The sequence below is a fragment of the Homo sapiens genome, chromosome 3 (genome assembly GCF_000001405.40).
Source record: "Homo sapiens chromosome 3, GRCh38.p14 Primary Assembly".
Classification (NCBI taxonomy): Eukaryota; Metazoa; Chordata; class Mammalia; order Primates; family Hominidae; genus Homo; species Homo sapiens.
This window is the reverse complement of record NC_000003.12, coordinates 65,760,181-65,772,741: the sequence shown is the minus strand read 5'-3', so window position 1 is coordinate 65,772,741 and position 12,561 is coordinate 65,760,181. Positions and strand designations below refer to the sequence as shown.

The 12,561-nt window shown below is 40.9% G+C and overlaps 1 protein-coding gene and 1 long non-coding RNA gene across 7 annotated transcripts in view, besides 1 other annotated feature; both read left to right on the top strand.

The window, feature by feature from the left end:
• Positions 1–12,561, top strand: part of MAGI1 (membrane associated guanylate kinase, WW and PDZ domain containing 1) — a 685,393-nt gene that overhangs the window by 266,177 nt on the left and 406,655 nt on the right. The gene's annotated exons all lie outside the window — the stretch shown is intronic.
• The window catches only part of LOC107986018 (uncharacterized), a 63,442-nt gene that overhangs the window by 9,871 nt on the left and 41,010 nt on the right, over positions 1–12,561 (top strand). The window lies entirely within an intron of this gene.
• Positions 10,151–10,788: an enhancer, noted in NCBI's record as "OCT4-NANOG-H3K4me1 hESC enhancer chr3:65747629-65748266 (GRCh37/hg19 assembly coordinates)". NCBI's record gives its function as "activates a minimal SCP1, AML or CMV promoter by ChIP-STARR-seq in naive H9 embryonic stem cells {active_cell/tissue: H9 hESC(naive)}" and the evidence as "EXISTENCE:reporter gene assay evidence [ECO:0000049][PMID:30033119]".

Sequence of the window (12,561 nt, the reverse complement as noted above, 5' to 3'; positions counted from 1 at the left end):
ATTTACCTGCAATACTGCCCTCAGTGAGCCTGAAGTTTGTTAGCTTCCTGATTTATGAAGCTTATCCTTATGCTGTCTCGTTTTCCTTTTCTCTGCTCCCTGTTTGCTTCCTCTGTGTTTGCTTCACTCTCACGAAGTGTTCTCCATGTGGCAGCTCCTGGCCTACTTCCTTCTTATGGCTGCTGATCCCAGGGAAAGAGGTGTCCCTCCCTTGTAGCACCATGATCATTCTCTGCAGAGAACTCAGTTGGCTCAGTTAGGTCTTTTGCCTACATTGGTGGTGATTGGCCATCCCAGGTCCCATGCCCACTCCTGTGGTGAAAAAGCCAGGGTCTCATGATGGACAGCTGTACTCAAGTCCCCCCTGAATCAGTGCAGAAGAGACAAAGAAGGAATGGCTTTTCTCTATGGTCTGACAATGTTAACAGGGAGACACAGGTTCATAAAGTCTCTGTTTTGATGAGGAAAGAGGAAATTGGCCCCTACAAGGAAGGGATTGGGCCTAATAGGTTATATTGTTGTCTTTTTTTTCTTTTTCTTTTTCTTGAGACGGAGTCTTGCTCTGTCGCTCAAGCTGGAGTGCAGTGGCATGATCTCAGTTCACTGCAACCTCCGCCTCCCAGGTTCAAACGATTCTCCTGCCTCACCCTCTCCCTGGGATTACAGGCACCCACCACCAAGTCTGGCAAATTTTTGTATTTTTAGTAGAGACAGGGTTTCACCATCTTGGCCGGGCTTGTCTTGAACTCCTGACCTTGTGATCCACCCGCCTCGGCCTCCCAAAGTGCTGGGATTATAGGCGTGAGCCACCGCGCCTGGCCAGGTTATAAAAGATGCCACAGTATTCTTTTAAAATAGTCAAACCATAAATTAAGGTCTTACATGATCTAGCCTCATAGAATGGACTTCAGACTCCAACTAGTCCCTGCTTCTCATAGCATGCTCCATACAGCACTGGGGATTCCTGGGTTAGGCTGAAGGAGAGTCAAATAATGATGAGGCTTATTGAATAAAATTAAATCCATTAGATTTTGTTTTTTATTAAAGGTTTCAAAATTTTTTGTGCTGACTAGCTTATTTGCTTTCTAATGCTAGCAGAACATAAAACATTATAAGCTAAATAGCAAATAACTATTAATCACATTTGGAGAAGGCTGGTTATACCTTATTTTGATAGCTAGTTTTAAACAAATTGCAGACATGTAAACTGTGGTTGTGCTTTTATATTACACAGTTATAAAATTTTCTTTATTTATGATGAAATAAAATATCTCTATGTTTCCCTGTGTTCTGTAAAGAGATACTCACTTGCCCATGGTGCTATACTACCTGAAATAATTAAGAAACACCTTTAGGACTTTCCACCTCATATTCACCTACTATCTGAGCTGATATTTGCTGAGTAATCGTCTTCTTTTTTTTTTTTTGAGACATTGAGACAGATTCACTGTCTGTCACCCAGGCTGGAGTGCAGTGGTGCAATCTCGGCTCACTGCAACCTCTGCCTCCTGGGTTCAAGCGATTCTTCTGCCTTAGCCTCCTGAGTAGCTGGGACTACAGGTGCATGCCACCATGCCTGGCTAATTTTTGTGTTTTTAATAGAGACGGGGTTTCGCTATGTTGGCCAGGCTGGTCTCGAACTCCTGGCCTCAGGTGATCTGCCCGCCTTGGCCTCCCAAAGCGCTGGGATTACAGGTGTAATCTGTAATACCACACCCTGCCCAGTAATCTTCTTTAAAAATAAAATAATTTGCTGGGCGTAGTGGCTTGCGTTTGTAATCCCAGCACTTTGGGAGGCCGAGGTGGGTGGATCACGAGGTTAGGAGATCAAGACCATCCTGGCCAACATGGGAAAACCCCGTCTCTACTAAAAATAGAAAAACAAATTAGCTAGGCATTGTGGCACATGCCTGTAGTCCCAGCTACTTGGGAGGCTGAGGCAGGAGAATAGCTTGAACCAGGGAGTCAGAGGTTGCAGTGAGCTGAGATTGTGCCACTGCACTCCAGCCTGGTGACAGAGCGAGACTCCACTTCAAAATAAATAAGTAAATAAATGAATAATAATTTACTAAAAAAGGATACGCCTATATGCAAACATCTAATATTTTTCTAATGCTCACATTACCTATTAAAAGCATCTTTCATACCTGTCCCTCAGCTCTCATGGTTTGTGAGTCATACTTTGAGAAACACTTGAGGCACACAGGTATCATTTACACAAGAGTAAACTGAGGCATGTAGAGTACCTTGCCCCTATTAAGGGTTGCTGGACATTATCAGAACAAGAGCTGGCCAGTGGGTTTCCTCGTGTCAGTTTCTTCCTGCACGTGGCAGGATGGATGGGAGCTTAAATCACCAATGCCCTACGGTACCTAGAAGGCAACTAAAAGATGAACATATGGTAGCATTTTTCATACTTTTAATAATTAGTGCTTGACCAATTTTGATGAAAAAAGTGGGAATTCTGATGTTAGTTTTCTATGAGACAGTCTTTGGAACTAGGAGAAGTCATAGAGTCTCTGGGAAATGCTGAATGGCCACATAGGCCTTGACACACTGGTTGTATTTCCGCAGGCAGGAGTCTAAAATAAACTCATGGTAAGCAGACAGAGCAGTTTTTGCCAGTGATGTGTCTTCTTCTGCCTCTCTCACCTTTCTTGTCCTCTCAGTAATAAGGTTCATGAGAGCAGTAATAGCATCATGGGCCCAAGATAGCAATCCTCCCAGATGGCACGTAAATCTCCTCATGGTGAATTTTGAAAGTGAACATCTTTGCCCAAGGGCCCTGTTGGATACTGTGACTTTAGTTGGAGGTTTTGACAGGAGAGGCTATCTCACTGATGGTTATTCAAGCTACTTTACTGGGGAAGTGATGCAACAAAGGAAAGCTCTTTCCAGCCACCTTCTATCCGAAAACCTGAACTTGAAGATGCCTTCTCACCTTTTTTGCTTTTAACAGGCACTGTTACATAGAGATAGTAGGCACATTTTTAAACCCAGGTAGACACTTATCTTCCTTGGTGTCCAGAGACACGTGTTATCAACATCTACATCTTATCATCAAAGTCAAATAGGGAATGGTGCTCCATAAAGTATCTTCCCGGCTATGGCTTCTTCATTTTTCAATTGCATGTCCATCACCTTGAAATGCTGTGAAATTGCAGCTTGTACCTGGATGGGGCCTGGGACTGTTTATTTCTAGGAGGCTTTGTGTGATATTGATGAACTTTATTTTTATTTATTTTATATTTTTTTCTTAGAGTCTTGCTCTCTTGCCCAGACTGGAGTGCAGTGGTGCGATCATAGCTTACTGCAGCCTAAAACTCCTGGTCTCAAATGATCTTCCTGCCTCAGCCTCCTGAATAGGTGGGACTACAGGTACACAACATCATGCTCTACTACGCTTATGAACTTTCAGTAGGAAGTTCAAAGTGCATGTGCAATGTGAGCTCATTTTTATAAAAAGATCAAAAGAAAACCAAGTAAAAACCCCATTATATGCATATATGAGGATTATATACCTAAGTAATCATTTGGTTTTGTCTACTCATTATTTATTTTTGTCATCAGAAAAAAACAGATCGACAACTTTTAAAGAATATTTTCCTATTATTTTCTTCAGTAAGAAAGCCAATATTGAGTTCAAATTTTGCAATTTTTTTAAAAAGGCATTTCTTTTTTTTCAGGCCCAGTGGCTTTAAAATTGAAATTCATCTATTTAAGTTACCAAGAGGCTCTTTGCTGGTTTCAAGTTTCAAGGAGTTTCTTAGCACTAGGTTTGCTTTGTCAAAATCCTGGTGGGCTACAGTAAAATGACACTGGAAAATTTGCTTTGTCCCTGGAGTTTAAAGGGGAAAATATTATTCTCTGTACGGAGCAGTTTTTATCTTCTTAAACACATTTTTCACATTTTCTAAAAGATAATGATTTCTTTAAAGTAATGCCACTGTAGTATTTTCTAAAGCAGAGATATTAAAAATTAAATTGTAGGAAGGTTCAAACTGGGACTCCTGTGTGTTCTACCACAACTGGAAAAATCTGAGCCTCCACTGCTGCATTTCATCTTTGCCATTTATTAATAGATGTGAATAAAGTCATTCTACCCATAGCTGGCTGTTATTATGTGAGCCTTGCAGGAGTGATTAGTTTTTTAGAAAGCATTCTAACTTTCTGCTATTTGATTTCAATAGTCTTATTTTTGGTACTTTAGTGAAGCCAAACAATGAAGAAAAAACTTGACTGAGACAAGCAACCTTTGCTTTACCACTTCTTGAATTTAATATGGTGGCACCAGTATCCTTAAGTAATTTCTTTTTTTTTTTGAGATTGAATCTTGCTCTGTCACGTAGGTTGGAGTCCAGTGGCGTGATCTTGGCTCACTGCAACCTCTGCCTTCCGGGTTCAAGTAATTCTCCTGCCTCAGCCCCCTGAGTATTTGGGACTACAGGTGGGCACCACCATACCTGGCTAATTTTTGTATTTTTAGTAGAGACGAGGTTTTGTCAAGTTGGCCAGGCTGGTCTAGAACTCCTAACCTCAAGTGATCTGCCTGCCTCAGCCTCCCAAAGTGCTGGGATTACAGGCATGAGCCACCACACCCAGCCTGCTTAAGTAATTTTTTAAGCAACTTGTGTAAAGGGTTGCCAGTAGGAATAGAATGCTTGCCTATTTTGGTTGTGTTAAAACACAAAATTTCAACAAATTAAGTTTAAAGATCTTATTTGCTTTTAGTAGCAATTCATGAATTGGAGAGCATGACATCCAAAGATTTAGAAAAGGCACTCCATTGGGCATGCAGAATGGTCAGTTTTTATATGATAGCTTAAGCCAGGAACAATGAAATTGCATAATACAAAAAGTGGCTTGGTTTACATTAAGCTACATCAGATTGCTTTTCCTGTAAGGGTTAAAGCAGAGGTGATTTCCCTTTCATGCCAGCTAGAACTGCCTGAGGATTTGGCTGTCATCTTTTTTGTCATTTCTCCTAAGCTTAGACACTTTCATTTTGTTTTGGTGAATGGAACCTTAGCATGAGTAACCCCATTTTGGTTTGGTCTGTTCTGTTGGGGCCTAGTGCAGGAGATCAGTCCATAACAATGGCCTCCTAACGTAAATTTCATGTAACAATTGTCAGAGCTTCATTTAGGGGAAGTTCTTTCTTGAGGGAAGGATGAATGTCTTTGAGCTTTCTAAATACTATAAAACTATTCTCCAATTTAGGATGACAGGAATTTTGAAAATGCTTTGAGTAAAGTCTTTATTTATTTATTTATTTTTCTTTTTTCTTTTCTGTGTTTTTAGTAGAAACGAGATTTCACCATGTTGGCCAGGCTGGTCTCGAACTCCTGGCCTCTAATGATCTACCTAATGTGGCCTCCCAAAGTGCTGGGATTACAGGCATGAGCCACTGCCCTGGCCTAAAGTCTTTATTAAAAAAAAAACTAAACTGTGGGTGAGTCAGAAAGAGATACTATATATAATTTTAGATCTGTAAGAAATATAATAGAACTTGGGGGATAACACTCTTGCTTGGGTCAGGCAGGTAAGTTAAATGTGTGAATAGGTGATTATTGATAAATAGAGAGGCAGACTTGATGATCTGGAGAGTTCATGCTAGCCAGACAGAACATGTGTGCAGATTGATTTTGCGTGTCATGATTCTGTCATTCCTGCTACCTAATCTAGACCATGCACTTATGTAAGAAAAAAGAGAGAGAAATGGAAACTCAGAGAGGGCAATATGACCTGCCCAAGACGGTAGTTTGTTACCAACCAAATTCGGACTAGAACCCAAGCATCTTTTATCCTCAGGCTAGTGTGCTTTCTCTTATTCTGTTGTTATTATTACTATTTGAGATGGAGTCTCGCTCTGTCACCCAGGCTGGAGTGCGGTGGTGTGATCTCGGCTCACTGCAACCTCTGCCTCCCAGGTTTAAGCGATTCTCCTGCCTCAGCCTCCTGAGTAGCTGAGATTACAGGTGCCTGCCATCACACCTGGCTAATTTTTTATTTTTAGTAGAGACAGGGTTTCACCAGATTGGCCAGGCTAGTCTCAAACTCATGACCTCAAGTGATCTACCTGCCTTGACCTCCCAAAGTGTTGGGATTACAGGCGTGAGCCACCGCACCCAGCCTCTTATTCTGTTATAATAATGACTGTGATTAAGATAATTCTTGCGGCCAAGGGCCGTGGCTCATGCCTGTAATCCCAGCACTTTCGGAGGCCTAAGCAAGCGGATCACCTGAGGTCAAGAGTTTGAGACCAGCCTGACCAACATGGAGAATAGCTGTACAATCCCTTGCAACGTAGTTTCGAATTTCTATTATCCACATCCTCTTTGGAAACAATCTAGTTTATGTTCCTCCTAAAATATGGTACCCGGAAAGAATCACAATAGCTTGGGTATATTCTAGCTGTTGTCCACCAGGCCAGGAATTGGGACTCCTTCTCCCTTGTTCTATATAACATACTACATTGAATGTAGCCTTAGCTTATTAAACTCCCGATTTCTGAGTTGAAGAAGGTATCCCCCACTTTACCCAAATGAAGTTTTTTTGAAGATTAGTTTGTTGACTTGTGCCTTATATATAGAAAGAGCTGTGCTAAATCTGTGAGTTTTAATTAATACCAAATATGTTAGGAAGGCAAATGTAAATATCCATAGCTGTTAAATAAACAAGCAGGAAAATGTTAGGGATACTTTAGTCCTGCCTACTCATCTCAACTTAATAAGCAGGGAGAAGAAAGCCACAGATGGGACCGAGGCTGGGATGATCAGATGAAATTATTTAGTTAGGTCAGCAGATGTTTTGGTGACACTACCAGGGTTCACAAATGTTTTAAAAATTTAGGCAGATATTGCAGAAAGTGACTTTTGTATAGGAAGAATCATTGCCTTGCTTAGAAGCAAGATTGAGAAAGACAGAGAAATCCGAAAATGGCAACCCATGTTGAAGACTGTCCATTGACTCATATAATGGAAATATCAGTAGATTTCATGGGGAAGGAATCACTAGCATTCCCCAGCCAGTGATTAAGTTCTTTACAAAATTAATTCCAAAAGGCCATACAGCCTCTGGTTGAATATTTCTAAAGAGCAGGAGCTCAAACTTCTCAAAGCAACTTAAGGTTAGAGGAAAGGCACCACAGCCTCATGTATCTGGTATTAGGTTGTCCTGGGCCCGAATCCTGACTCTTCCAACTCTCTAGCTAAACGACTTTGGATAAATGACTTCAATGTTTTAAAATTCAATTTTCTTTATTATGTAAGGTAGAGTAGTACACCTCTCCTAAGTTTGTAAAGGGCATTAATGAGACTCTGGAGCTTAATAAGCAGTGGAACATTGGTTTCTTTATAGTTGTCCCGCCAGTGCCACAACCAAATGCTTGGCCTTACCTCAAATAAAAAAGTGCTTAGTGGCAATCCTGTTATGGGATCATGGGATCAGTAGCCTTTCCCCTCCTTTGGTAAAGGTTCATTCCCAAAACCAGACCTATAAGTAGGATTCATTGTCTTTGCCAAATGTTTTTATTCTACAACAGTTGATCACATATGTTATACTTTTAATGGGAACAGGCAAGTCAGATAATGTTAGATAAATTCTGTAGCACTGAGGACACCATGTTAGGTGCCATCCATTGACTTCCATGATGGGAAGGATGCATTCCTTACCTTGGGGACACAGGCCCTTTATGAAAATCAGCCTCACTGTTAGGTTGACTTAATTTAGTTCCTATAATTTCTTTAATGATTGTATCCATTTTTCTGCCATCTTCTTGGTTCAGTGCTGAAACCCCAGAAAATTAGTACATAGTCTGTTGCCATGTCACTTTGTGAGCCAAGTGAAAAAGGACAAAACAAGCGGTTCTGTTTTTAAATATCTAGGAGAAATCAACAAGCTTCAGGCATATACTGAATCTGTGTGTTTACGCCTATGCTTATTCCAGAAACTAAAATAATTTCTGAAATTCCTTTCAAAAAGCCAAGTTAAATGACACGACTTTCTCACTGTATTCTAAAGAAGATGCTTAAAGAAAAAAAAAGAAAAAGAAAAAGGAAGCTGATTTATGGTGGATGGTAGATGTCTGCTGTCTGCTTTTGATGAATTTTTCCCCTAAGCATTCTGTAGAGTGAGGTGATCTTTCCAAAAGGCCTCAGCTGTCAGCCTTTTTTAAAACTTTAAGGTAAATTGAACTTTGATTTAGAGTAAAAAGTGAAGAACCAAATTAAATAAACTGATGTTCCTTTTCTTCTAAAATGTTGGTTCTTTTGAAAACATAGCAAACATAGTAAAATAGAATATCAGCAACCCTTGCAATGTCAGAGCTAGACATCCAGCTTTTCCTTTCCTTTTTGAATAGTGGGGGAGAGGGGAGTGGACAGGAGTGGGAGAAGCATAGAGAATGAATCACAACCATAAGTAATATCATGCTGGCTTGCTTTACATTTTTACCTGAGAATCTCTTGATCATTAAGTATCATGCCATTTTCACGTCTACATTCTTTTTTATGGTGGGTGGGTGGGTGTGGAACTAGAAATTTTTATTACTGTATTTAAGGATTTCATGTTGATCATAAAAGGAAACGGAAGACCATAGACCATGTTAATACCCAAACTATAATTCTTTTGAACAACAAGGTTTTTTTTTTTTTTTTCTTTTTTTCTTTTGAGACAGGGTCTTGTTCTGTCATCCATGCTGGAGTGCAGAGGTATGGTCTTGGCTCACTGCAACCTCCACCTCCGAGGGTAAAGTGATCCTCTCACCTCAGCCTCCCCAGTAGCTGGCACTAAAGGTGCCAGCGACCACACCTGGCTAATTTTTTTATTTATTTGTAGAGATGGGGTTTCTCCATGTTGCCCAGGCTGGTCTTGAACTCCTGTGCTCAAGTGATCCTCCCGCCTCAGCCTCCCAAAGTGCTGGGATTACAGATATGAGCCACTGTGCCTGGCCTCAGGATTTTCTTTTATTTATTTCTTTTTTTTTTTTAAAAGCACTTGTGCGATATGAAATATGCCTATGCTTCCACCTAGAAGACTGTGCTATTTTGTTACCATTAGTGTAGGGAAATGCTTATGCGCACAGATATCCCATTCAGACAGTCTGGGTTGGAATCCAGCCCTTGTGCTTAGCAGCTTTGTGACTTGGGAACATTATTTTTTTTCTTTATGCCTCAGTTTTCTGGGGTTGTTTTGAGGATTAAATGAGTTACTATAGAAAAAGTGCTTGATAAGTGATGTGTGCTATGTAAATGTTGTTATTGTAGGATAGGCAAACTTTTACCTTCACCTTCCTAGTTTTTTTCAGCCAGGCCTGAGAATTAAAGCACTGTGAGAGTCACAGGAGAAAAGCTTACAAATTTATGTAATATAAGTCTTTTGTGACATGGGAACCCTTATATGGAAATATAGATCTAAGGAAGTGGCAAAACCTAGATACTTTTATATTTGGTTGAACACAGAGAGGCAATTCTGGAAAAGTAACTGAATTATGTAGGGAGAATGAAGGAAGGTAAGAATTATTTTAACAAGGTCTGTTTATACAGAACTCTCTTGGTCTCAGCTTCCCATCCTTGATGATACGAATGTGACTTTCCTACTAGTATAGGGAGGATACTTGCACATGGGGGTTTTATCACTGCTTTCAGGAAGGAAAAGAGTGGGGTCAGAGAGCCTCTTGCACTGCAGATATCCCCTTGAATGGCTGTTCCCCAAAGTAGTAGTGATGGTTCAAAAAATGTACCATCCCTACTTTGGGAAACAGGTGTTGTTTCCATTATTGGTTCCAGATTATGTTGCAATGAATATCCTTGTATATAAAGTTGTGCCTGCATTTAGACCACATTCTGGAAGTGGTAGAGTGACGCTTGTATGAATTACTGTGCAGACCAGAGTTTCAGTCCTATCTGAGCCACTTACTAGCTGTGTGACCTTTTGAGATACTCAATTTCTGAGGACCTCAGTTTCCTCATCTGTAGAACAGGAAAAACAGTAATACCTATGTCAGTGGGTGGTGTAAGAATTCAATGAGAAAATCATGTAGAGGACTTAGCAGAGTGCCTAACCTATAATAACACACCCATGTTATATAACTAAAGAAACAAATAGAAACAAAGTAATTATTGTTACTGATAGCATTTTTGTTTCCCTGGGCCCTGCTTATGATTCTCCAGTGAATGAACAAATGAACAATGAGTAGTTCACCCTTTTCTTGGGATCATTATAATGTAAAATAATGATGGCATCCTTTGGAGATCTGTGTGTTTTTTCTTCCTGTTTTTTTTTTCCGCCTTCCCATTCTTTGTACTTCACTTGTCCACCTGCTGTGCAGTAATGAGATTCGTAGGAGAGGCTGGTGTTCGGAGAATGAATTAATGCCTTGCAAGTCGCCTCTGCTACATGTATCTCCTTTATCATCACTAACCAACTATTTAGACTTTCAAAATCTGAGAAGGAAGAAATGGGTGTTCAAGGAGCTGAACTGTTAGTGGGACCCACTTCAGGAGGCATTTGTGATTCTCGTTGGAGGGGGAAAGGAACCACTTGAGCTGTGATTGTTCATAGACTGCCCTCCTGGCAGGCGCTGGGTGCTGGAAGTGGCTTATACCTAGTGAAATGCAGCCATTCTGGGGTATTGTGAGCCCTGGATAGTGAGTTACCATAAAGAAAAAATGAGGCAGTTCCCACCCCCACCCTGCTGACCTCCTGAAAACTTTTTAGGCTCTTACTCCAGTCTGCTCTATTGAGGTGTGGATATGGAAGGGTTAAGCAGTCCCCATTTTGTGTCTATTTAAGCCCATTTAAGAACAAGATGGAAAATGCAGCTTTTCATCTTGTCAGGACCATTTTTCATTTCTCACAGTACCATCCCCACACCTGACGTGTTTTCACAAGCACTTGGGAGCTCAGCAATCCTTGAAGGGAGGGTGGAGATGAAACAGATCACATTCCCTAGTGAGTGGTACTGAGAGGCAAAAACAATCAGTTTTACCTGCAGCCATCATGGGCATCTGTTTTCTGTGATTAACACGAAATTGTGCATTCTAGGTTCATTCTCGGCTGGTTAATGAGGAACCCGCTGGCTGATGGAATAAAGACTTCTTTTGTGGCATTGTGCATTTGGTTTGTGGCTGGCTTGAAACAAAATGGCTTGCTCCTCTTAACCTCCCTGCGTTTGCCACTAGAAAAGAGACAGACATAAAAGCGTTTGGAGAGGTTAGAAATGAAACCTCATGTAATTACTGTAGGAAATGGCTTAACGTTGTTGGAATTTAGCATTTTGCTGCAGTTCTGAAGAGTCCTTACTTGACAAGACTGGTACTAGGTCTATTGGAAATATAATTTATCCTTTATAAAAATGTCTAACAGTATTCTTCATTTGACTCCATTTGTCCTCTTTAGTTGGGCAGGACAAGAATCTTCCATTTTAATCTCGTATCTGATAATTATTACCCTGTAATTTAGTTCACAATCAGGTGGCAAATGTGTATGGATGTTAAGTTGGGATGTCTGAGAGCTGTTTTCCCTAAAACATACCATCTTTTGCCTAGTACATCCCAGGGCGCTCTGGAAATTGAATGTGCCTGGTGAAAGTCAAGAGGACTTGAAGATTCCAGATCACATAAGTTGTTCAGCTGCATCTATCCTGTGGAAGGGTCCCCTTCTTTCATCCTCAGATATCTGCGTAACTTCAGTGTTTGGGATCTCTGATTCTGTCTTCAGGGTACCTATCCGTCTATGGGCGCTACATATGTTTAAAATGGCAAACAAGCTCATTGCATGCAAAGACTCTTTCCTGCCTACCTCTACCCCTTGTTTCAAAGAAGTGTTTCTACGAAGCCTCCCTCTGACTGGCCATCTCAGGAGTGTGGTTTCTTTCCCTCCTTCTCAGATGGGTCTCATCTGTTGAGATTTTATGTTGATGAGAACTTCCTTAAACCCTGTTTTTCACTCTTCTTCTATCATAAGGCAGTGTTGTGTGGTAGCTAGGGACAGAGGCTTTGCGGCCTGACCATCTGGGCTCAAATTATAACTCTAGGCTGGGCCAGTGGCTCGTGCCTGTAACCCTACCTCTTTGAGGACCAAAGGAAGAGGATCACTTGAGGCTAGGAGTTTGAGACCAGACTGGGCAACATAGGGAGACCCCGTCTTTACAACAAATAAAACAATTAGTTGGGCGTAGTGGTGTGTGCCTGTATTCCTGTCTTATGTTGCTATCTATTCCTATCTTCTATATTCCTGTGTTCCTGTCGCTTGAGCCTAGGAGTTTTAGGATGCTGTGAGCTATGAGTGTGCCACTGCACTCCAGCCTGGGTGACAGAACAAGACCCCATCTCTTAAAAAAAAAAAAAAAATTACCGCTCTGTTACTTCCTTGCCGTGTGACCTTGGGCAAGTTTCTTATCCTTTCTGGTCCCCAGTTTCTTCCTTTTAAAAAGAGAATAATAGTAGTAACTGCCTCTTAGAGCAGTATCTAGTGTGTCATAAACAATTATTAATCAGCAGACATTTATTGTGAACCTCCTGTGAGCTAGACATAGAGCTGGACATTATAAAGGAGGAC